We start from the raw sequence: 25,422 nt of genomic DNA on the forward strand, positions 1-25,422 counted from the left end.
TAGGTTCTTGCTCTGTTGCCCAGGCTGGAGTGCAGTGGTGTAATAATAGCTCACTGTAACCTTGAACTCCTGGGCTTAAGCCATCCTCCCACCTTAGCCTTCCCAGTAGCTAGGACTACAGGTAAGCAGCTAATTAAACAAAAAAATTTCTTTGTAGGCATGGGGTCTCGCTGTGTTGCCCAGGCTGGTCAAAGACTCCTGGCCTCAAGCAATCCTCCAGCCTTGGCCTCCCAAAGTGCTGGGGTTATAGGCATGAGCCACTGCATTCGGCCTTGCTCACTACTGTCTAAAGTGTTCTAAGAAAATGTTCTTTTTGAGGCCAGGTGCGGTGGCTCACACCTGTAATCCCAGCACTTTGGGAGGCTGAGGCAGGTGGATCACGAGGTGAGGAGTTCAAGACCAGCCTGGCCAAGATGGTAAAACCCCATCTCTACCAAAAATTCAAAAATTAGCAGCTGTGGTCGTGCACGCCTGTAATCCCAGCTACTCGGGAGGCTAAGGCAGAAGAATTGCTTGAACCAAGGAGGCGGAGGTTGCAGTGAGCCGAGATCGCGCCACTGCACTCCAGACTGGGAGACAGAGTGAGACTCTGTCTCAAAAAAAAAAAAATTTTTTTTTTAAAAAAAGAAAGAAAATATTCTTTTTGATGTTATTAAGAACTCCTTGCCAATAAGATTATTATTTTGTACAGTATATATAATTATTATATTATAGCTGGGCGCAGTGGCTCACACCTGTAATCCCAGCACTTTGGGAGGCTGAGGCAGGTGGATCACCTGAGCTTAGGAGTTCGAGGCTAGCCTGGCCAACATGGCAAAACCCCATCTCTACTAAAAATACAAAAAGTAGCTGGGCATGGCAGTACGCGTCCATAATCCCAGCTACTTGGGAGGCTGAGGCAGAAGAATTGCTTGAACCTGGGAGATAGAGGTTACAGTGAGCCGAGATCATGCCATTGTGCTCCAGCCTGGGTGACAAGAGCAAAACTCCATCTCAAAAAAAAATTATATATAAATTATATATTACATTATTGTATGTTACATATATTCTGTAACAATACGATAAATAATTTCATATTATTACTTTAATAATTAAATTGTATATAATTATGCTGTTAAGCTTGCGGGGAGTTACGCCCCTTTCCTAAGATAAAAACAGACACATCTTTGGGGAGTCAGATCCAGACCCTGGGATCCTGACTGCCAGCACCTCGCTGTCTCCACCAGCCCCACGTCCTGTCTGCAGCCCCCACGTTTGTTATCTGGGGCCTGTGGATCTACGGGAGTGGCATTGGCTAACAAAGGCAGTGACAGAAAAAGTGTCCCCCAAGTCCAGTGGCTCTTAATCTTGAATACACAGTGAATTTCATAGTGTTTAGTCTGACTATCTGGAGAAGTTCAAATATACTGAGTTGTCACAGTCCCTTTGAGTGACTTGAGTTTTAAAAGGGGGAAAAAAACAGAAAGAAAAATAAAAGATAGACACAAATTTCCCTCACAGATACTGCTGCTGCTGGTTTGGAGAAGAAGTGCTTCTGGAGAACCGGAACCTGGTCAGCGGATGAGGACACACGACACTGTGAATGAGCAGTTATGGAGTCAGGGCAATGCCCTGGGGGTCTTGGAGGATGTCAGAGATCCCACGTTGACTAATTCTGGACACATATTCTGTTCAAAGAGGGCCTTTCAGCTGGGCACAGTGGCTCACGCCTGTAATCCCAGCACTTTGGGAAGCCGAGGTGGGCAGATCACCTGAGGTCAGGAGTTCGAGAGCAGCCTCGCCAACATGGTGAAACCCCGTCTCTACTGAAAATACAAAAATTAGCCAGGTGTGGTGGCAGGTGCCTGTAATCCCAGCTACTTGGGAGGCTGAGGCAGGAGAATCGCTTGAACCTGGGAGGCGGAGGTTGCAGTGAGCAGAGATCACACCACTGCACTCCAGCCTCGGTGAGAGAGACTCTCTCTCAACTGAAAAAAAAAAAAAAAAAAAAAAGAGGGCCTTTCTCTGGGTGGACAACAGTGTTGTGTAGGATGAGAGTGTTGTGTAGAGACAACCCTCTGCTGCTTGCCGGTGTGTCAGCAACACCTCTGCTGCTAAGTAGCATCACTGGAGGTAAGATTAGGAGGCTTGGCCGGGCGCAGTGGCTCTTGCCTGTAATCCCAGCACTTTGGGAGGCCGAGGCAGGAGGATCACAAGGTCAGGAAATCGAGACCATCCTGGCTAACACGGTGAAACCCCGTCTCTACTAAAAAAATACAAAAAATTAGCCGGGCGTGGTGGCGTGCATCTGTAGTCCCAGCTATTTGGGAGGCTGAGGCAGGAAGATGGCGCGAACCCAGGAGGCAGAGCTTGCAGTGAGCCGAGATCGCACCACTGCACTCCAGCCTGGGTGACAGAGCAAGACTCTGTGTCAAAAAAAAAAAAAAAAAAAAAGATTAGGAGGCTCAGTTTCACCATAGTTAACAGCACGGCACGAGCTCACTTCTACGAGCCCAACTGCACAAACCTTCACCTCCTGCCTCCGTCTCATCCTGGCCACGAGACAATTCAAAGCAATTTTCTTTTCTTTTTTTTTTTTTGAGATGTAGTCTCGTTCTGTCCCCCAGACTAGAGTGCAGTGGCATGATCTCGGCTCACTACAGCCTCTGCCTCCCGGGTTCAAGTGATTCTTCTGTCTCAGCCTCCCCAGCAGCCGGGATTACAGGCGCCCACCACCATGTCAGCTTTTGTATTTTTAGTAGAGATGGGGTTTCATCTTATTGGCCAGCCTGTTCTTGAACTCGTGACCTCAAGTGATCCGCCTACCTCAGCCTCCCAAAGTGCTGGGATTACAGGTGTGAGCCACCGGGCCTGGCCCCCATGAGGCAATTCGAGATAAAGTACAATAGCCGGCAATGGATTCTGAAAATAATTCTTCTCTTCCCTCCCTTTCCCTTTCCTTGTCTTCTCTCTTCCATCCTCCCTCCTTCCTCCACCCTGTCGCCAGAAAAGCTTGGTATTTGACACTTTTAAATGTCTAGAATGGTGCATTCATCTGGCCTTTTGACCGAGTGAGTTGGTCTTTCCAACCAGAGCTCTAGGTTGAGGAATGTCTAGCTGGGCTTGGGGAGAATGTCGGGAAATGGATGTGCTCCTGCAGTGTTCTGGAAGTGCAAACTGGTGCAACCTTCCTGGAAAACAATTTAGCAACGTCTATGAGTAAGTCACCCTTTGGCCATACTCTCAAAGGCTCACAAAGATAGACGTGCAAGGACACTCATTACAACATTGTTTAACAGAATGTCAATGGGACATTTCATGTTGTCTCCAAAATGAGGCTGCAGCCCTAAAGCTGAGAATAAGAGGTGCTAAATCCCCATATTTAAAGGACCACCTATGAGCTGGCAGGAGCAGTTCATTGACCAATAGTCCCCTCTCCTTCTCCCCATCTTACAATAATAGAAGTCCAGGCATTAGAAAATCACTCAGGTTCAAGGTGAGAGCTACTCCTTTCCTTCCCTTGAAGCCACATGTGTGGAGCTTCAAGAGAACCTTAGAGACTCAAGATGCTGGCGAGAAGGGAAAGGACTGACATCTTAGTCCTGATCTAGACACTTGCTAAGATGCAGAAACTCATGGGTCCACACGAGCTCCCATGTTGTTGCAGAACTCAGTGAAAGAGTTCCTGAGAAAGCCAGATCTATTTCTTCAGAAGCCTGGGAATAGATGAGCAAATAGAGACTGGTCCTTGCTTCTTGCCTGGGTAATTTTGGAATGAAAGGCTTGCTGGAGCAATCAGAGTTGTGTGAGTGTCCCAAGAGGCAAGCAGAGACCAGGAAAGGTGGCTGAGCTTGAGTTGTCTTGCTGGTATCCTCCTCAAGAAGGCAGGAGGAAGTCCAGTAGGAAGAAGTGTAGAGTCTATGACCAGGTGTAGGGACTTGCAGAAAAGATTACAAGTCAGAGCACATCATTCAGCCAGGGAACTTTTGGGCCATCCAAAGACTTGTGCAAAAGCTCCATCAGAGAACCAATATTTGGATGCCTGCCATACAGCAAGGCATGGATAACAGCGAAGATTACATCTGCACTGACTCAGTAAAACAAGTTATACTGGTCAGGTGCAGTGGCTCATGCCTATAATCCTAGCACTTCGGGAGGCTAGGAGTTCAAGACCAGCCAGGGCAACATAGCAAGACATTGTCTCTACAAAAAATAAAAAAAATAAAAAAAATTAGTGGGTATGGTGGCATGTGCCTGTAGTTCCAGCTACTTGGGAGGCTAAGGCAGAAGGATCTCTTGAGGCCAGGAGTTGAAGGCTGCAGTGAACCATGATCATGCCACTGCACTCCAGCCTGGGGGATGAGGGGTGACAGAGCAAGGCTCTGTCTCTAAATAAAAAAAAAAGTGGCTGGGTATGGCAGCTCATGCCTGTAATCCCAGCACTTTAGGAGGCTGAGGTAGGTGGATTGTTCGCGCCCAGGAGTTCAAGACCAGCCTGGGCAACATGGCAAAACTCTGGCTCTACAAAAAAAAATTAAGATATTAGTTGGGCATGGTGGCATGCAGCTATAGTTTCAGCTACTCAGGAGGCTGAGGCAGGAGGATTGCTTCAACCCAGGAGGTTAAGGCTGCAGTGAGCCATGTGTCACTACACTCCAGCCTAGATGAAAGAGTCAGAGCTTGTTTAAAAAAAAAAAAAGAGAGAGAGAGAGACAAAACAGTTATATCATTTTCATGAATCCCTCTTCCCTAACCATCTTGACTCTGGAGGAACCAGAAGCCCTAGAGTATGGGGAGGTCCCATAAGCCATTGGAAACTCCAGAACTGAAGGTGGGTGTGGGCTTGGCACTGGGTGGCAGATTGAAGATTTATGACTGGAGTGAATTTTTAGTACCGGCTATGGTAGATGTGTAAAATTACTACACTCTTGCATCACACCAAGCATGAAAGAGTTTACATTCCAGAGAAAAAGGTTTATCGCTGTCTCTTGGTTTTTCAGACTATTGAAGGCCAAGTGTTCAGATGGTCTTGTTTTGTGGGACAGATAGGACTTCACACCATTGCTGGTGCAAGTTTTCTGGAGGAAGTGGGCTGTGAGATGAATTCTGAATTAAAGGAAGAATTCTTGGATCTTGGATAGAGTCGCAGGCGCCTCTGATGACAACTTGCAGGAGAAAGAAGGAAACCAAATGTCTTTTTGCATAATTGGCAGGGAAAGGATCCCTAAATGGAACTGGGAGGTGATATAATCAGGGCTAATTTGATAAAGAGTCTCGAAATCAAATGTGACTACATTGACTCTACCGTGGAAGCATCCATTGATTATGTTGTCAAAGATGCAGGTGAGAGCAATGGATTTTAATGACAGTGTTTTGAACCATTCGTAAGGAAGGGAGTACGAAGGGAATACTGCCAGTTAATGTGTTTTATTTCAGATGAGAAATAAATCCAGATTATCCTGGGGACTTTCCAGTGGAGGAAAAAAACTAAATCAAAACCAAACCGAAAATCAAGAGTGTAGCTGAGCCAGTTGCAGGAAGAAATGGCAAATTATTCCAAGGGTTCTATCTGAGGGAGGGAAACAATGGATAATCAGTCTATCAAGGGAAAATGTGTTAGAGGCTTCAATGTAGTTATTTAGCTTTCTTTGAAATACAATGAAGCATGATTGCATTTTAAATTAATTCCTAGCCTGCCAGCCTTTGAATTTTTCATGTTTACTTTTACTTTGCATGCCGACTTGATTTTCTTTCTTTTTACAAATCGCCAACAAAATTCAAGAGGATAATGTTCCAGATAAGCAATGTTTATTTGGTTAGCAAGTATTTATTGCACATTTACCCTGTAGTTGATGGGGAGGAAGGAGCCAAGGTGCGTTTATTACCTATTAAGTATTGAAATAGAGACTTTCTTATACATTATTTCATATTAATCTGTACAACACCTCTGTGATGTAAGTACTATCATTTTCATTTTTCATTTTAGGAATCTGAGCCTCGAAGAGGTTATGTGACTTATCCCAAAAAGTGTCTGTATCAGTCTGTTCTCACACTGTTAATAAAGACATACCCGAGACTGCATAATTTATAAAGGAAAAAGGTTTAATGAACTCACATCCACATGGCTGGGGAGGCCTCACGTTCATGGCTGAAGGCGAATGAGGAGCAAAGTCACGTCTTACATGAAGGCAGGCAAGAGAGCTTGGGCAGGGGAACTCCCCTTTATAAAAGCATCAGATCTCGTGAGAGTTATTCACTACCATGAGAACAGTATGGGGAAACCGCCCCCTATGATTCAATTATCTCCACCTGGCCCTGCCCTTGACACATGGGGATTATTACACTTCAAGGTGAGATTTGGTTGGGGACATAGCCAAACCATATCAGTGTCTTAGCAAATTATTATAGCGCTTGCAGTACCACGCTATAGTTAACTGTTTACTTCGTAGGGCAGACGTTTGCCTACACAATGTTCCATCATCTCCCTTGTCATTAGAATCCACTTACCCCTGTAGACATTGTATACACCAGCTTCTCACTCCACCAGCTTCTCTTGCAGCTAGAGGTGGGACTGTGGCTCTCTTTTGTCAAAGAGACATCAACACATCTCCTGAGGGTGGGGGTAGGGGAGCATCAAGGAAATCTTTGGATTTGATGTATTCATTGAACTGCTGCAACTACTGTCCAGCCACTTGGCAGATGGAAAAATATCCTCTGTGGGGTCACAGAGCCACTGAGTTCTAGGACCAACCACCTGCAGGCTTCTTGCTATGGAAAATGAGCTCACAGCAATAGAGACGGCTTGTATGTGGCTATTCTCTTGCGAGCAGCTGAGTACATTCTGCCCAATACAGGCAGGGCAGGCTTGCCCCAGTGTGCCTGGATTCTCACCACCCCCTTGCAGGAAAAGGTCTCTGCCCACAGGTCACTACCTGGGAGCCAGGACAGCCAGCTTGCAGGCTGGCAGGACCATCCAATGGCCCTGTACGACAGCAGCCCTTCAAAGAGGGTCTGAAGACCAAATTAGATTCTCGCTTTGGGGAATTTGAACTGGAGATACAGGGAGATGTTTCTCATGTAGGGGAGGAGGAAGAAATAGTAAACAAACAAAAGAGATAAAACCACAGAGGTTTAGAGGAAAGCTGAGTTATCTCTTGGCAGAGCAGGCGCTCCAGTGAATATCCATCCATAAACTCCCAACGCCCAGGGAGGACGGGACAACCAGAGGTGACCACGGTGTGTGCCAGTTGTCCTTGTTCAAAGCCTCTGCTCCTCCCTCAGCTAGATTTTGCTGTTTAATGCTCCTCTGTTGTCAATTTTATTTTTAGTTTCTGGGGCAAACTGGCTGAGGAGGGAGCAGGCTAAGCAGGCCCATGCTGAGAGCATTGCAGGATGTGTCAGGTCTGCCGTTGGCTCCTTGAGCTTTGAAGAGCTTAGGAAAGTGAGCCTTGCTTTCAGGGGCTCCATGAGGGCCTTGAATCCTAGAAACACCATGAGATCTGATTGATGCTGGGGCTGGTGCACCCTCAGGCCAGGGTCTCGGGGACCACAGAGCAGCCCAGGCTGGCCTCTCCATGGCTGGGACCATATCGTCTCCCTGTCAAATCCCTTCAGTAGACCCACACAGGCTTCAGTAGTTTCAGACTTCCCAGTCACTTGTCACCCTAGTCTCCCATCGACCTGTTCACTAGTTGTTACCCATGTTCTGGACACAGAGTGGCCATCCTGTCCCTCGACTCCCCCTGTGAGGCCTGGCAGTAAGGCCAGGTTCCTGAGGGCCTGCTTGCTTCATGGTCACAACAGCTGCAGAGGAAGACCTACCAACCCGATGTGAGCTGAGACACGTCCTGCAAACAAAACAGCCTGCCCCACCCAACTCGCCTGTTCCTACTTCTAAGCTCTGATCTTCATGTGTCTCAGTCAGCTTAGACTGCCATGATGAGGTACCACAGATAGGGAGCTTAAACAATAGACATTTATATCTCACATTCTGTAGGCAGGGATTCAGTTTCTGATGAGGGCTCTCTTCCTGACTTGCAGACTGCCACCTTCTCGCTATGGCCTTGCAAGACCTTTCCTTTGTATGTGTTCTTGGAGAGAAATAATTAGCTTTGGTGTCTTTTGTCTTTCTTTCTTTGTCTTTCTTTGTTTCTTTCTTTTTTTTTTTCTTTCTTTCTTTCTTTTTCTTTCTTCTTTCTTTCTTCTTTCTCTTTCTCTCTTTCTTTTTCTTTCTCTTTCTCTTTCTTCTTTCTTTCTCTCTCTTTCTTTTTTTTTTTTTGACAGAGTCTTGCTCTGTCACCCAGGGTGGAGTGCAGTGGCACCATCTCAGCTCACTGCAAGCTCCACCTCCCGGGTTCACGCCATTCTCCCACCTTAGCCTCCCGAGTAGCTGGGACTACAGGCATGCACCACCACGCTTGGCTAATTTTGTTTTTGTATTTTTAGTAAAGACGGGGTTTCACTGTGTTAGCCAGGATGGTCTCGATCTCCTGACGTTGTGATCTGCCCTCCTTGGCCTCCCAAAGTGCTGGGATTACAGGCATGAGCCACCATGCCCAGCCAGTTTCTTTCTTTCTTAAAAAGTTTTTGTAGAGATGGGGTCTTACTATATTGCCCAGGCTGGTCTCAAACTCCTGGGTTTGAACAATCCTCCTGCCTCAGTTTCTCAAAGTGCTGGGATTATAGGTGAGAGCCACTGCACCTGGCCTGTCTTTTCTTCTTTTCTTTTTCTTTTTGTTTTCTTTCTGGCATCTCTTCTTATAAGAACACTAATCCTTTTGGTTCAGGGCCGCACCCCGATGACACATGTAACCTCCACTACCCACTTAGAGGCCCTATCTGCCAATGCAGCCACACTGGAGGTTATGGCTTCAACATATGAACTTGGGGAAACACAATAAAGTCTGCAGCACCTTGAAAGCAGTAGTCACACCTGATTCAGCTTTTCATTCCCTCATCAGAGCACAGTTTCGACATACCATAGTGTCCAATAAATGTGAATTCAGGGGAATCTTGAATGAAATGGCAGAGCTGGTATTTTAACCCAGGTCTTCGAATCAACAAATGAAGTGCTGGATGTCATAGCTGGGCACCTACAGGGAATTAAAGAAAGAATACACCATGGTTTGCCCACTGGGAGGATAACCTTGTTCCAGTGGCAGGACATACAATTGATACAAATTATATCACACCATGTGGAGTGGGCTGGTGAGGAGGTGAGGAAGGGGGTCCAGAAAGGATGGGAAGTGAGCTAGCCCTAAGAGGCTGGTTTGCTTTGGGGTTCCAGGAGTAGCAAGGAGAGGCAGGAAGGGCAACTCCAGCCAGAAAACCCAGGATCTGAGATTGAGGTCTGAGTTTCAGCATGGTGGTCTAGGATGGGATGAAAGTTCAAGAAAAATTGGGGCTTTGACAGAGCTTTGGAAGGTCTGAACCAAAAGATGGCATTGAAAATAACCTTGCAGGGTGGGTGCGGTGGCTTATGCCTGTAAACCCAGCACATTGGGAGGCCGAGGTGGGCGGATCACGAGGTCAGGAGATTGAGACCATCCTGGCTAACAGAGTGAAACCCCGTCTCTACTAAAAATACAAAAAAATTAGCCGGGGGTGATGGCGGGCGCCTGTAGTCACAGCTACTCCGGAGGCTGAGGCAGGAGAATGGCGTGAACCTGGGAGGTGGAGCTTGCGGTGAGCAGAGATCGCACCACTGCACTCCAGCCTGGGTGACAGAGTTAGAGTCCGTCTCAAAAAAAAACAAAAACAAAAACAAAAAAAAGAAAATAACCTTGCCAACCTGTAACATATAACATCAATCAAACAATAGTTCTGATCTTTTAACCAACCATTTAAAAGTTAATAGAGACTGGGCATGGTGGCTCATGCCTGTCATCCCAGTGCTTTGGGAGGCTGAGGTGGGAGGGTCACTTGAGCTCAGGGTTTGAGACCAGCCTGGGCAACATAGTAAGACCTTGTCTCTACAAAAATAAAACTTAAAAAAATTAGCCAGGACCCGGCGCTGTGGCTCACACCTGTAACCCCAACACTCTCGGAGTCCGAGGCAGGTGGATCACTTGAGGTCAGGAGTTCGAGACCAGACTGGCTAACATGATGAAACCCCGTCTCTACTAAAAATACAAAAAAATTAGCCTGGTGTGGTGGCTCATGCCTGTAATTTTAGCTACTCAGGAGGTTGAGGCAGCAGAATCACTTGAACCCGGGAGGCTGAGGTTGCTGTGAGCCAAGATCATGCCACTGCACTCCAGCCTGGGCAACAGAGCGAGACTCCTCAAAAAAAAAAAAAATTAGCCAGGCTTGATGGCACTTGCCTGTCATCTCAGCTACTTGGAAGGCTGAGGCAGGAGGATTACTTGAGCCCAGGAGTTAGAGGCTGCAGTGAGCTATGATCATACCACTATACTCCAGCCTGGGTGACAGAGTGAGACTCTGTCTCTAAAAAAAGAAAAAGAGTTAATAAAAAATGTAATCCTTCCTCAGTAAAAAGATTGTTTTAAGGCTATGATAATTAATGAACAACTTAGGAAATATTTTTGTTTTTTTAACCATATGGATTATGGATGCGGTTGTGCAGAAATACTGCCATTTCAAAATTAAAATTGCTTCCAATATTCATGATGAAATTGTAAGTGAATTCTTCATACAACTAAGTATATCTTTTCCTATTTTCTCAATGAGTATACTGGATTGTTTAACATCTACAATTATGCTTCATGTTTCAACTTGCACTTAGTTTTTCCATAATTATTTATTGTTTGGAACAAGCAAACTCGGAGAAGTTTAAAGTTTGCTTTTTAAAGATCAAACACGACTCCAGGATTTTCACATATATTTCAGGAGAAAACTCTTAGAATACTGTATTTTTCAAAAACAAGTAACATGAAAGATAGCGTGTTTGACTGTGTGCAACTCCTTAGCAAAACTGTGGGAAACCACACCCGCTCTTGAGAAAATATTCAGAGTGTGCAAAAATGAACTGCTCTTTAAATGTTAAGAAATGCAAAACTTAAAGGCCACTATCCTCCCATCCTCCACTGTCTACAATGTGTCACCATATCCGCCCCTCCAGCATCGCCGCCATGGGTCTGCCCATGAAGATGGTGGTGTTGGAAAACTACCTCTGAGACATTTAGAGTTTGTAATGGAAATTTTAGTAAGCCAGTAGCTTAGGCAGCATGGGCATTTTAGAAAGCCATTCTCCAGCTCCTCCTCCTGAGTGTGTGTGTAGTCTCTGACTTCCTGAAATGATATGACAGGAGGCCACTTTTTAACTTGTACCTTAAGATAATCCTTTTGATGATGTTACACAACTTTCCAAATTTTGTTGATTGGTTGGTACCGTCATTCTTTTATTTATTCTTTCAACATTGGAGTGCATATCATCACCCCAACTTCGGTTTTTTACATTTTAATTTGTATTGTTTTTAATTTATTTTGAGGCAATGTCTCACTATGTTGCCCAGGCTGGAGTACAGGGACATGATCATAGCTCACTGCAGCCTCAGCCTCCTGGGCTGAAGCAATCCTCTCACCTCAGCCTCCCAAGTAGCTAGGACCACAGGTGCGCACCACCACACCTGGCTAATTTTTTTAGTTTTTGTAGAGATGGGGTCTCACTATGTTGCCCAGGCTTGTCTTGAACTCCTGGGCTCAAGCAATCCTCCCACTCCTGGGCTCACTTCAACCTCCCAAAGTGCTGGGCGAGGGAGTCGCTGGGCAAAGGAGGCACTGGGCTCAGCCATCACCCCAACTTTTGGCATATATAGGGGATAGGAAAGCAGCTACTAGGACTCTAATAGTCAAACTAAAACTCCCCTCAGACTTGAGTTTAGCAAGCGATTTTGGATCGAATGCTTTGCACGCTCATTTTTCATCAGATGCTTTCTTGCTTCCACACTTCCCCCTCATTCAAATCAGCATAGGGTGGCCCGGCTAGCCTTCTGCACTTCCTCTTTCTCTCCATTTGGGTAATGTTAAAATAAATGATGTGTGTATGGCTTTACCTTTCGGAGATTTTTTGGGAACAAAACCTCTCTGGAGGGCAAAGGCAGCATAAGATAAAGTGAAGGCCGGCTGACTGCAGTTGAAACTCCAGCTTTTGCCTGGTTTGCCTGTGCGTTCTTCCATGAGGTTCAGAGCCTCTGATTTCTCCAGCTCTTCGAAGAGAAAGAGCATGATACTTACAAGTCCTTTTGCCTAATGGAAGAGAAAGAGATTGAGCATGCTTGAGTTTCATAGGAAGCTAAATGTTCAGGGTTTTCAAGGAAGCTAAAATTCTAGTTCCACTTTCCAATTACTGGAATTTTATTTTTATTTTTATTTTATTTTTTCAGAGTCTTGCTCTGTCGCCCAGGCTGGAGTACAGTGGTATGATCTCAGCTCACTGCAACCTCTGCCTCCCGGGTTCAACCAATTCCCCTAGCTGGGATTACAGGTACCTGCCACCACGTCTGGCTAATTTTTGTATTTTTAGTAGAGACGGGGTTTTGCCATGTTGGTCAAGCTGGCCTGGAACTCCTGACCTCCAGTGATCCACCAGCTTCAGCCTCCCAAAGTGCTCGGATTACAGGCATGAGCCACCATGCCTGGCCAAAAATTTCTTAATTTTTGGATGAGTAAAGGAGAGAATACTGAGCTGATGAGTGTGGATAAAAAATGCTGGCTTGGAATGACCACCCGCAGGTCAGCCTGCCTTGTTGTTTTACATCCTGCCCGGGCATTCACACTTCCTAAATGGGCCCTAGCTCTGACTTGCCACCTTGAATTTGGACCATTAAGTCAGGGCCATTTCATTCCTGGCTCTGCACTGCTTGCTCTTCAGTTTATTCCTGTGTGACATCTTGTGTTTGGCTTTGATTCTGTATTTCACAACCTGACAATGGTTCCTTTCTCCTGAACTTCTAGCCTAGAATTTTCCCTTGCTCTTCCAGATTCTCAGCCTTGGTTTCAGACAGACCGTCTGAACTAAAAAAAACAAAAATTAGCCAGGCATGGTGGCACATGCCTGTAATCCCAGCTACTTGGGAGGCTGAGGCAGGAGAATCGCTTGAACCTGGGAGGCAGAGGCTGCAGTGAGCCAAGATCGTGCCATTGCACTCTAGCCTGGGCAACAAAAGCAAAACTCCGTCTCAAAAAAAAAAAAAAAAAAAAGCTGGAGCGGTTCTAACCTTCTCCTCTCTCTCAGTCCCATGGTGCCCACTGTGGCCAGGAATCTTTGGCCTGGAATTTCCTGCTCCCAGCCCACCATGCTTAATGGGTGGTTTGGACGTGGAGGCTGGAGAATATTTTAGTATCTCCCTGGAGTTGGTTACTTCAGAACAGGCCTCTGTGCTCCCAGGGCAGGGATCTAGCATTGCAGCTGCCATGGGGACTTCTGTTTTTCGCTACTGTTGTTGTCTGGCAGTGGCTACACTTAGGATGCTCGCAGGCAGACAGCTCCTGCCCCAAGATGAGGTTCTGCCATTTCATGGACAGGACCACTCCTGCCTACGTCTCCCCTTCTGACTCACAGCAGTGGCCTCCTCGCTGGTCTCGTTTCTCTCAATGCTCATGGTCACTTTGCTTCATGGATCTTGTAGCCCTTTATTGCTATGTGGTTGTTTTGTTTTGTGGGGTTTTTTTTTTTTTTCATAGCTAACAGGCCCCATCCATAGGTTTCACTCACTTTATTTTTATTTATTTATTTTGAGACAAGGTCTTGCTCTGTTACTCAGGCTGGAGTGCAGTGGTGCCATCAAAGTTCACTGCAGCCTTGAACGCCTGAGCTTAAGTGATCCTCCTGCTTCAGCCTCCTGAGTAGCTAGGAGTACAGGTGCATGCCACCATGCCCAGCTAATTAAAAAAAAAAAAAGTATTCCATTTTCCCCAGGCTGGTCTCAAACTCCTGGGCTGAAGCCATCCTTCTGCCTATGCCTTCTAGTGTGCTGGGATTACATGCATGAGACACTGCACCCAGCCCGTTTCCCTAACTTTAAATACTGCAGAGAAAGACTGGGGTATGGGTCTCCATTCTTTCAATGGGCCAGAACCTTAAGTAGATTACACCTTTCCCTGGGAAGACAATTTTGTCAAGCCAAAGATAATAGGTCATAGTAGACCTTTCTCTTAGGACAGTAGATGCTACATGACTTACATTTTTGCAACTTAAATGGTTCTTCCAAGAATTGAAGAACTCTAGGTCTAAATTAGATCTCCACCTGTAGTCATTACAGTAAGTAGGAAATGTACGTAAGTTTGGGTTCTGCTCCATCAATCACATCTATACATCCACAGAATGCGTTTCCCTCTACTGATTACCAGAGACAGAGATCTGAGTCTCATCCCAGCATTTGTGAGCTCTATATTCCTAAGTCTTATTTTCAAATCCTCAATCTCTCTCTCTCTCTTTTTTTCTTTTTTGAGATAGCCTTTCACTCGTTGCCCATGTTGGAATACAGTGGTGCAATCATGGCTCACTGCAGCCTCAACCTCCTGGGTTCAAGCCATCCTCCCACCTCAGCCTCCCAGTAACTGGGACCACAGAGGCATGCCACCATGTCCAGCTAATTTAAAAATTTTGTTGTAGAGATGGGGGTCTCACTATGTTGCCCAGGCTGGTCTTGAAATCCTGGGCTCAAGTAATTCTCCTGCCTTGGTCATAGTGCTGGGATTACAGGTGTGAGCCACTGTACCCAGCCCCTCTCTCTTTTACAAGGAAGAGAGTGCTCTTTGTGTCTGGCTGTGAAAAGAATAATTCCTTTGAGCTATGGGTAATTAGAGATGAGGAGAGAAGGTTTATTTCATCAACACTTTGCCAATTACCTGTTGTACTGATAGCTCAAATCACACCTAACTTTCTTTTTAAATAACCAGGGCAGGGTGAGCTGTCACAGAGCACTTTCTGCACACCTCCATTATGGTATTCCTGAGTTGCCACACATTTGGGTAGCTCCTGGGGGCTCATGTGAATAATTTCCATTCAGTTTCAGTTCTCCCTCATATACCCAAGTGGCTGAATCAAATGAAGCACTCTTTAATCCCGGGCTTAAAAAAAAAAAAAAAGAAGGAAAGAAAACATCTACTGATGGAGCACATGAACAAAAAGAAAAGAGAAAAACTGCAGGTTAGAACATTGATCAATACTAACTTCATACCCCTGGTCCCCCCGTAGAAGATTCTCAAAGGCCAGGCATTTCTCTGTAGGAAAGATTTGGAGGGAGAAGGATGCAATAATGCTGATAACTTTCTTAAGCCAGGACTTGGCTGGCCTGGTGGCTGCACTCTCAGTAGCTCTTTTGTTCTTATGAAAAGACCCAGAAGGGTCAAGGTCAACTTCAAGATATCTGAATAAGGTGTCAGCTGTGGCAGCTGAGTTGGTGCTCAGCTCTCTCATAGACCTCCTCTCCCTGCCCAAGTCCTTAAGAATCTGATATGGTTTGGCTGTGTCCCCACCCAAATTTCATCTTGAATTGTAGCTCCCATAATTCCTCAGGTGGGAGATAATTAAATCATGAAGGCAGTTTCCTCCATACTGTTCTCATGGTAGTGAATAAATCTCAAGAAATCTGATGAATTTTTTTTTTTTTGAGACAGTCTCACTCTGTCACTCAGGCTGGACTGCAGTGACACTATCTCGGCTCACTGCAACCTCCGCCTCCAAGGTTCAAGCAATTCTCCTGCCTCAGTCTCCCAATAGCTGGGATTACAGGTGCCCGCCAGCATGCCCGGCTAATTTTTTGTATTTTTAGTAGAGATGGGGTTTCTTCATGTTGCCCAGGCTGGTCTCCAACTCCTGACCTCAGGTGATCCACCCACTTCGGCATCTCAAAGTGCTGGGATTACAGGCATGAGCCACCATGCTGGACCACATCTTATGATTTTATAAGGGGTTTCCCCTTTTGCTTGATTTGGATTCTCTCTTGTCTGCCACCATGTAAGACGTGGCTTTTGCCTTCTGCCATGATTGTGAGGCCTCCCCAGCCACGTGGAACTGTGAGTCTATTAAACCTCTTTTTCTGTGTAAATTACCCAGTCTTGGGTATGTCTTTATCAGCAGTGTGAAAACGGACCAGTACAGGATTCCACTGGACTTTTTTCCCTAAGGCTGTTACAGCAGATGGGGAAAGATGGCTTGTCTCTTATGACCCCATACATTTTTACATAGGCATACAATCTTTATTTATCCATGCCAGGCCTCAGTGTATCCCTGTATATCTTGCGCTGACCAGCACAGTCCTTGGAATGGCTTGAACTTTTCTATTTGCACCCTGACCATCAGCATGACCATAACAACTTACAATCTGAAATTGCTTCACCTTTTTTGGTTCGAACAACGTGAGATAATCCCAAACCAAACTTGAAAATTATCCACCACACTTATTGCTAGGACTCCTTGCACGAGTGAGCTGTGAGGACAGAACCCTGTTGTACTTATCTCTGCATCTCCAGGACTTTGTTTTGTGCTTGTGTTAGGCTGTTCTTGTGTTGCTATAAGGACATACCTAAGACTGGGTGATTTATACAGAAAAGAGGCTTAATTGGCTCACGGTTCTGCAGGCTGTATAGGCATGGCACTGGCATCTGCTTGGCTTCTGGGGAGGCCTCAGGGAGCTTTTATTTCTCAGTGGAAGGTGACGTGGTAGCAGTCACATCACATAGCGAGAGTGGAAGCAAGAGAGACAGGACGGGCATGTGCCACACTTATTGATTGATTGAGACAGAGTCTGGCTCTGTCACCTGGGCTGGAGTGCAGTGGTGCAATCATGGCTCATTGCAGTCTTGATCTTCCAGGCTGAAGCAATCCTCTTGCCTCAGCCTCCTGAGTAACTGGGACTATGGGCACATGTCACCATGCCCAGCTAATTTTTATTTATTTATTTATTTATTTATTTATTTATTTATTTTTGAGACGGAGTCTAGCTCTGTCGCCCAGGCTGGAGTGCAGTGGCGCAAACTCAACTCAGTGCAACCTCTGCCTCCCAGGTTCAAGCAATTCTCCTGCCTCAGCCTCCCAAGTAGCTGGGATTACAGGCGCCCGCCTCCGCGCCCAGCTAATTTTTGTATTTTTAGTGCAGATGGGATTTCACTGTGATGGCCATGCTGGTCTCAAACTCCTGACCTCGTGATCCACCTTGGCCTCCCAAAATGCTGGGATTACAAGCGTGAGCCACTGCGCCTGGCTGATTTTTTCAAATTTTTAGTAGAGATGAGGTCTTGCTATGTTGCCCAGGCTGGTCTCAAACTCCTGAGCTCAAGTGATCCACCTGCCTTGGCCTCTCAAAGTGTTGGGATTATAGGCGCGAGCCGCTGTGCCTGGTCCATGCACCTTCAAACAACCAGATTTCACATGAAAGAACTCACTATTGCAAGGATGGCACCAAGCCACAAGGGATCTGTCCCCATGACCCAAACACCTCCCACCAGGCCTCATCTCTAACATTGGGATTACATTGCAACGAGAACTGAGTGGGACAAATATCCGGACTATATCAGTGCTTATTGCATAGTACTTGAGACATAACTGCTAAATAGGGCATGACACTGAATAAACTAAAACAGCACGCACTATCATTAGAGACTTGATCCTCTCTGACATCAGCCTTTAAAGACCTGGATATGAGCAACGGGAGTCAATGGAAACACCGGCAAGAGAACAGTGGACGGCCGGGCGCAGTGGCTCACGCCTGTAATCCCAGCACTTTGGGAGGCCGAGGCAGGCGGATCACGAGGTCAGGAGATTGAGACCATCCTGGCTAACACGGTGAAAGCCCGTCTCTACTAAAAAATACAAAAGAATTAGCCGGGCGTGGTGGCAGGCACCTATAGTCCCAGCTACTCAGGAGACTGAGGCAGGAGAATGTCATGAACCAAGGAGGTGGAGCTTGCAGTGAGCCGAGATCGCGCCACTGCACTCCAGCCTGGGCGACAGAGCGAGACTCCGTCTCAAAAAAAAAAAAAAAAAAAAAAAAAAGAGAACAATGGACTAAACCTAACTCTTACTCAACAGGAAATTATTACTTAACAGAATTTGCCCATGTTCTCCAATAAAGAAGGGAAGGGGAAATAGTTAAGGCAGATTCAGATTAAAAATAGCAACTTGTAATTTATGCATAGATATTTTTCAGCCATCACGCCCCCACATATCTTCGGTGTGGAATGCTTTGGATAGATGGCGCCAGGAAATCCATATGTAGGGCAAAAAGCATGGGAAAAGATTCCCCAGTTAGATCATGCTCCTGATGTATTATCTCTGAAGGTCCTCAAAATTATCCTTTTTTTAGAGTAGAAAATCCATTTTGAAAGGGCTCCACTTGGGCTGGGCTGGACGCTACTGCATATCACCAAAGTAGGTCACCTCTGTGTGGACAATGAAGCCAACCTCAGTTTTAACCTTGCATTAAATCTGCAAAGGAGGAGATTGGACCAGGTGACCTCTGACGGCCTTCTGGCTCCACCTTCTGTGATGACGTCAAACCGTCAGACGTAGATCTGGAAGCAGTGACCCTCTCTCTTTGCATGAGTTTCTCTTTTTTCTCTGAGTTACAGTTTTGAGGGCAGCTGCTAATTTTTTTAATCCCTCGAATAACTCAGTTTTAGGAACATTCGCTCTCCCTAAGCCTTACCTTGAAACCAGTGTAGGATTTTGCTGCCACCCCGGAAGATGCTGAGTGGACTCAGCTTCCTATCCGTTTTCTCCCTCTGGTGTGAGCCCACACTCCCGGCGCTGGGAAATGGCTCTGTTCTAGGAGTGCGGCTGTCATCCTCTTCCTCTGCCCAGTGCTCTCTGCTACATCTTTTTTTTTTTTTTCTAAAACACAATCACACAACTAGCTACAAATAAATCCCTCTTGCCACTGCCTAGGAAAATGGTTTTCAAACATTATGATTTTCTTTTAACACTCTTTTTCTCTTTCCTTCTTTTCTTCTTTCTTTCTTCTTTTTCTTTCTTTTCCTCCTTCCTTCTTTCCTCTCTTCCTTTCCCCTTCCCCCATCTCCCTCCCTCCCTCCCTCCTTTCCTTGCTTCCTCCCTCCCTCCCTCCATCTCACTATGTCACCCAGGCTGGAGTGCACTGGTGTGATCATGGCTTCACCTCCCAGTCTCAAGTGATACTCCTGCCTCAGTCTCCTGAGTAGCTGGGACTACAGGTGCACGTTACCACATGTGACGTTTTTTTTTTTTTTTTTTTTTTTTTTTTTTAGTGGAGCTGTCTCACTGTGTTGCCCAGGCTAGTCTCCAACTCCTGGGCTCAGGTGATCCTCTTGCCTCAGCTTCCCAAAGTGCTGGGGTTATAGCTGTGAGCCACCATGACCAGCCAACGTTATTTTTTTTCTAAAAAAAGGTGGAATCGTTTTTGAAACAGTAATTGCCTAAGACCCGAATACATGACTCAATAAAGATCGGAAGATGTCACCTGCCCGGGTTATCTTCCCACCCCCAGAACCCTGATGCACTTCAGAATAATTTTAAAATCAATTGCTCTGGATACTGAAGAAACGAAGAGTATGAGAAAAATAAGCATCATTGGAAACCATCTGTCTGCACCCGTAGATATCACAAATGTGTGGTGAAAAAAAAATAAGACCAACTTGGGCCTGCTTTGAAGAGAGCTCTCTCTGGTTCTTTCATTCTCCCTTTTATATTTATGGATGCATTATGACCTGGGTCAACCAAAAAATAGAAAAATAAAGTGGAGCAGGAAGCCAAAGATTGAGTCATACAGAATTATATCTTTAACAGAACTAGATCCACCTAAAAGAATGATAAACAGGATGTGTCAAACATCATAGTATGAGGCTGAAGTTAAAGAAACAAACTCTATTTAAGGGTACCAAGAATAGCATCATTTTCATCTCGGCTGTAACCAAAGCCAGATAGCATGCTTAGCATAGTCTTTTAATCTGGAACTATCTTTTTGCTAGCTGGGTTTTATCCATTCCAGCCCTTCATTTAATGGCCAGGCTTCCATCTCGGCTTCTGCCTTAGGGAGATTAAAAATGGTGATTTAGGGGGCCGGGCGCGGTGGCTCATGCCTGTAATCCCAGAACTTTAGGAGGTCGAGGTGGGTGGATCACAAGGTCAGGAGACTGAGACCATCCTGCCCAACATGGTAAAACCCCGTCTCTACTAAAAATACAAAAAATTAGCTGGGCATGGTGGCAGCTCACTGCAACCTCTGCCTCCCAAGGCTCAAGCCATCCTCTTACCTCAGTCCTCCATAGTTAGGACTATGGGCATGCACCAACACACCTGGATAATTTTTGTATTTTTGGTAGAGACAGGGTTTCGCCATAACGCCCAGGCTGGTTTCAAACTCCTGGGCTGGAGCCATACACCCACCTCAGCCTTCCAGAGTGCTGGGATTAGAGGCATGAGCCTCCGCACCTGGCTTTCATGTGTACCTTGAGTCAGGATCCTGCAGAATCCCTGCTGCAACTTGGAAGGCGCATTGTGAAGCCATGCTCCTGAGCTGCAGTTGTGGTGCAGAGGACTGAACATTTGAATTAATGTATTGAATTAGTTTGCTTTGGCATTCAATCTTTACTTTGCTGGGGTGGGAGGGGATGGCAATAATGGAGAACATGTGGTCAGAGGGAGAGTTGTGGTCAGCACTTCTCTCTCCCTCCTGTAGCTTTAGCCTCTTTGCTCGCAGAAGTTTCTGCCCCCTCCCCTAACCCTGGGCTTGGGAGTAAAGCAGGGATAGGGTCAGAGGGTGGGAGGGTGCCTGGAGTTATCAGCACTGCTTTGTCCAAAGAAATCCTCCAAAATGCTCTCACTGTCTCTCATGACCCTTTTTAAAGTGGACTAAGCATTGTGGGGCCGGTTTCCAGGCATTCTCTTTGTAAATTCCGCACACTGACACCCTGTTACACCGGTATCCAATTCTGGAGAAGGGCTCTCCCTTTCTGATCCATTCAAAGGATTCTTAAGACTAACCTTCTGAGACAGGATCTCACTCTGTCACCCAGGCTGGAGTGCAGTGGTGCGATCTCAGCTCACTGCAGCCTCCACCTCCCAGGCTGAAGCGATCCTCCCACCTTAGCCTCCTGAGTTGCTGGGACTGCAGCTGTGGGTCACCACACCCAAGTCATTTTTGCATTTTTTTTTTTGGAGATAGGGTTTCCCTGTATTGCCCAGGCTGGTCTTAAACTCATGAGCTCAAGTGATCTGCCCACCTTGGCCTCCCAAAGTGCTGGGATTACAGGCATGAGCTGCCATGCAAGTGTCCCCCACCTTTTTTTTGGTTTTGTTTCTGAGACAGAGTCTCAGTCTGTCACTTAGGCGGGAGCGCAGTGGCATGAACACAACTCACTGCAGGCTTGACCTCCTGGGCTCAAGTGATCCTCCTACCTCAGCCTCCTGAGTAACTGGGACTACAGGCATGTGTCACCATGCCCAGCTAATTTTTTTTTTTTTTTTTTTTTTTGGTAGAGGCGGAGTCTCCCCATATTGCTCAGGCTGGTCTCAAGATCCTGAGCTCAAGCAATCCACCCATCTTGGCCTCCCAAAGTTCTGGGATTACAGGCAAGAGTCACCGAGCCCGGCCAAGGCTAACTTATTCTTTTTTTTTTTTCTGAGACGAAGTCTTGCTCCATGGCACAGGCTGGAGTGCAGTGGCGGGATCTCGGCTCACTGCAACCTCCATCTCCCAGGTTCAAGTGATTCTCCTGCCTCAGCCTCCCAAGTAGCTGGGATTACAGGGGTGTGCCACCACACCTGGCTAATTTTTGTATTTTTAGTAGAGACAGGGTTTCACCATGTTGCCCAGGCTGGCCTCGAACTCCTGACCTCAGGTGATCCGTCCACCTTGGTCTCCCTAAATGCTGGGATTACAGGTGTGAGCCACTGTGCCCAGCCCAGACTAACTTATTCTTAAGACAGTGAAGGCTGAAGTTTGTAGTTCAGTCTGCACTGGACCTCCCTCAGGTCTCTGAACTCTTTGCCACATGTGGCTGAAACATTATTTAGCAAGAGGCATCCCCCACTCTGTGTTGTGTGGCCTCTTCAGCAAAGAGGTGCCTGACAGTCCCCTCTGAATAATGACATAGTTTTCTCTAACAACCAGAATTTGTCTTTCAAAGATGTTTATGCTAATCTCAGCTGTAAGATCTCAGACAGTCCTAAGAGAAAGGCATGTTGAATCCATCCATTACCTATCCCCACAATCTTCTAGGGTTCCAGGGCTTTCATCCTGAGTGAAACCTACACTGCTTGTTCCCTTTTTTCATTATTTAGTGTGAGTGAAGCCAAAACTCAGTCATTCTCCGAGGTGGAGAAATTTCATACAGATTTTGATGTCTGATATTCTATCTGCTTGCACTGTTAAATTTCTCAAATATGTATATTTGTTTTCTCAGCAAAATCGTAAATTTATTGGGGAAATGAGGAATCATAGTTCATCTTTCCATGGGAAGGAGCCAGCTGCCCTGGGATCTCAGCAGCTTCACTGGTGAAGAGGGTGGGAACACTGTCCCCCTGAGCAGAGGCTGCGGCTACAAGGCTTGTTGGTGACAAGGACAAGGATAAGTCAAGACTTCCATAAACTTGAAGCAAGGAGGTGAACAGGAAGCTCCTGGTGAATTTCCTATTCACATCTTCAAAACTTTTATTGGCCAAGTGCAGTGGCTCACACCTTTAATCCTAGCACTTTGGGAGACTGAGGCAGGAAGATCTTTTGAGGCCAGAAGTTCTACAGCAGCCTGGGCAACCATGTGAAGCTCCATCTCTACGAAAAATAAAAATAAAATAAAAATTAGCCGACTGGTATGGCATGCATCTGTGGTCTCAGATACTTGGGGGGTTGATGCAGGAGGATTACCTGAGCCCAGGAGTTTGAGGGTGCAGTGAGCTGTGATCACTCCCCTGCCCTCCAGCCTGGGTGACAGAGCCAGACCCTGTCTCAGAAAAGAAAAACCAAACTTTTTTATTGGGGCTTGATATTACTTGGAATAAAGAAGCCACAACAATATCATCACTCTGTTATTATCTAGACTATCAGCATACTAGCGATATGAATCATAACAAAACTATAATACGATTTTATCTATAGAGTCACACATTGAAACAATTGGGAGTAACCTTATCAAAGGAAACAGATAACTGATAATGATCACACTTGTGAATAATTTCACAAAGAATGTGGTGACTTCATTCACCAAGGATTTCTGGAATCCTGAATTCCAGGTCAGTGGTAAAGCCTCAGAGGACAGAGGGAGGAAAAGGATTGAGTCATACCAAGGCATTTTTTAATTATTCCAAAGGTCATTCTCAAGTTAAAAAAATCACAACATCATTGTTATTATGATGGTATTCCTGAAAATCAAGAGATTCTAATTCACACAAGATATTCCATCATTTGACAGCTGTCACCAAGGGTAAAATTTTTTTTTAAATTATTCAGTTGAAATAATTAAAGTTTGGTTGAAAAAGTCAAGATGTTATATGGGGGTCAGTTCAGCCCTATATTTTCTAAGTACGTCAATCTGAAGTTTCAGGCACAAAGAATAGACATCCAAAGAAATTCAACTTGCAGCCAGGTGTGGTGGCTCACACCTGTCATTCCAGCAATTTGGGAGGCTGAGGTGGGAGGTTGCTTGAGGCCAGGATTTTGAGACCAGCCTGGGCAACATATCCATTGATGCTGTCTTATCCCGGTGATGATCTGAGGGGAGCTAGCTGCAGTATTATAGAAAAATGACATCTTTAAAAAATGACTATCTTTCATATGAGATCCTCAAAAATGCTCTATGGCCAAGAATTGTCTCTGTTCTCTATTGCTACTTGTCTGAAGATGTGCCTCTTCAGCTTTTACCCTTTAATCCAGAAAAGGCAAACCTCATCCCTGAGAAAGACCTTATATTCCTTTTCACTTACTCAAGAAAAAGAAGAAAATTTTTCTGTCCTCTGTCCAGGAAAAATGTAACTGATCTTCAATGCAATTTGAGCTTTTCTCTGTTTCCAAGTAGATATTTTTTATTTGCCATCATTATGCCCCATTTATGGGTCTCATCATCTCAAATGTGAAATTTCCCACTGCTGGGCATCTGATCTCATTTTAACCTTCTCTCTTACCTTCTCTGGCCTTTGAAGAGTGACTAATGTACTAGGACTCCAAAATAACCAACCTCGGAGAGTAGCTATCAAGTTATTTTTCTGAGGCTCGCAGGATCATTTAACATTACTATTACTGTGTTTCTGGAAGACATTTATAATTATGTTATACTGTTTATAAAATGGTTAGCATTCTGGGAAACAAAGCTTTTAGCTTTCCATAATGAAAGCAGCTCTATTGAATAAGCATTGCAAAGTGGCAGAGAGCACCGTTCATAAATGAAGTTACTCTGCTTCTTTATTTGTCTGTGAAATGACAGAAGAAATAACCTCACCAGTTGACTGTAAGGACCACAGGACACGTTTAGAGCCCTTCTGGAAATGTGGGAGGTACTAAGTGTTAGCCGTGGTTCCCAGCCCTGGAATTCATCTCTCTAAGGCAGCTGTGTGGGGTAGAGAGAATACTGCACTTCTGAACACAGCATGTGAGTTTCAGTGCAAATCCTGGGTCTTCGCCACTGTTTTGGTAAGAATTTATTTCAGTGTCTTTGAATGCAAGTGTGGATTAACATCACCTGCCTTAGCTATACAGCAGGGTAGCTGTGAGAATCATAACACAATAATGTAATATGAGGCCGGGCGTGGTGGCTCACGTGGTGGCTTACGCTGGGGCTGTAATCCCAGCACTTTGGGAGGCCGAGGCTGGCAGATCACCTGGGGCCAGGAGATTGAGACCAGCCCGGCCAACGTGGTGAAACTCTGTCTCTACTAAAAATACAAAAATTAGCCAGGCATGGTGGCACACGCCTGTAGTCTCAGCTACTTGGGAGGCTGAGGCAGGAGAATCACTTGAACGTGGGAGGTTGCAGTGAGCCGAGATTGTGCCACTGCCCACCAGCCTGGGTGACAGAGCAAGACTGTGTCTCAACAAAAAAGGAATGTATTATGAAAGTGGTGTGTAAAATGAAACTCTTTAGGGAGTTATTATTATACTTTGTCTTTTACAGTTGGTTCCCTGGTTTTGAACCTGCCTTGGCAAAAACTATAACAGGAAATGATGACAGTGAAAGAGATCTGATCCAACCAACCCCCATTTTGCTTTTAGCTTCCAAGCTGCCCATAGTTATTCCTGGGTTTGGGCCAAGCTAACTTTGGGAGAGACTTAGTTTACAGTTTCAATGATAACAGCCCTTTCCCCAAACTAAAGCACCTTTGTAAAGCTAATGAAAGACAATCAGGTTAGGAGACTGATAGGAAGCTGAGTTCTGCTAGGGTGTAGACAGAAATGGTTACCAGCCATTGTTCCGGAGGCCACAAGATGTACAACTTCCCCAATCACTCCTGCAAATAGCATCGTATCATAGAATTTAAGATTGCCCTTTTGAGATGCCTTTTTCAGGTTTTTG

At 45.6% G+C, this 25,422-nt stretch overlaps 1 long non-coding RNA gene across 2 annotated transcripts in view, besides 1 other annotated feature; it reads right to left on the reverse strand.

Annotated features, from left to right (window-relative positions):
- LOC105376434 (uncharacterized) overlaps window positions 1-25,422 on the reverse strand; it is a 34,557-nt gene that overhangs the window by 4,925 nt on the left and 4,210 nt on the right. Inside the window, exons 2-3 of one of the 2 annotated variants that reach the window (XR_930699.2) lie at window positions 11,994-12,186; window positions 8,958-9,071 (exon numbers count right to left, since the gene is read on the reverse strand). This is a non-coding gene — a long non-coding RNA (uncharacterized LOC105376434). Of the gene's footprint in view, window positions 1-5,770; window positions 9,072-11,993; window positions 12,187-25,422 lie in introns of those variants that run through there. The other variant, XR_001747378.2, reaches the window with a different exon arrangement.
- Window positions 22,602-23,801: an enhancer, noted in NCBI's record as "P300/CBP strongly-dependent group 1 enhancer chr10:15242369-15243568 (GRCh37/hg19 assembly coordinates)". NCBI's record gives its function as "activates an origin of replication core promoter dependent on BRD2, BRD4, P300/CBP, MED14 and CDK7 cofactors, with strong dependence on P300/CBP, by STARR-seq in HCT116 cells {active_cell/tissue: HCT116}" and the evidence as "EXISTENCE:reporter gene assay evidence [ECO:0000049][PMID:35650434]".

Source organism: Homo sapiens, chromosome 10 (genome assembly GCF_000001405.40).
Source record: "Homo sapiens chromosome 10, GRCh38.p14 Primary Assembly".
Lineage (NCBI taxonomy): Eukaryota > Metazoa > Chordata > Mammalia > Primates > Hominidae > Homo > Homo sapiens.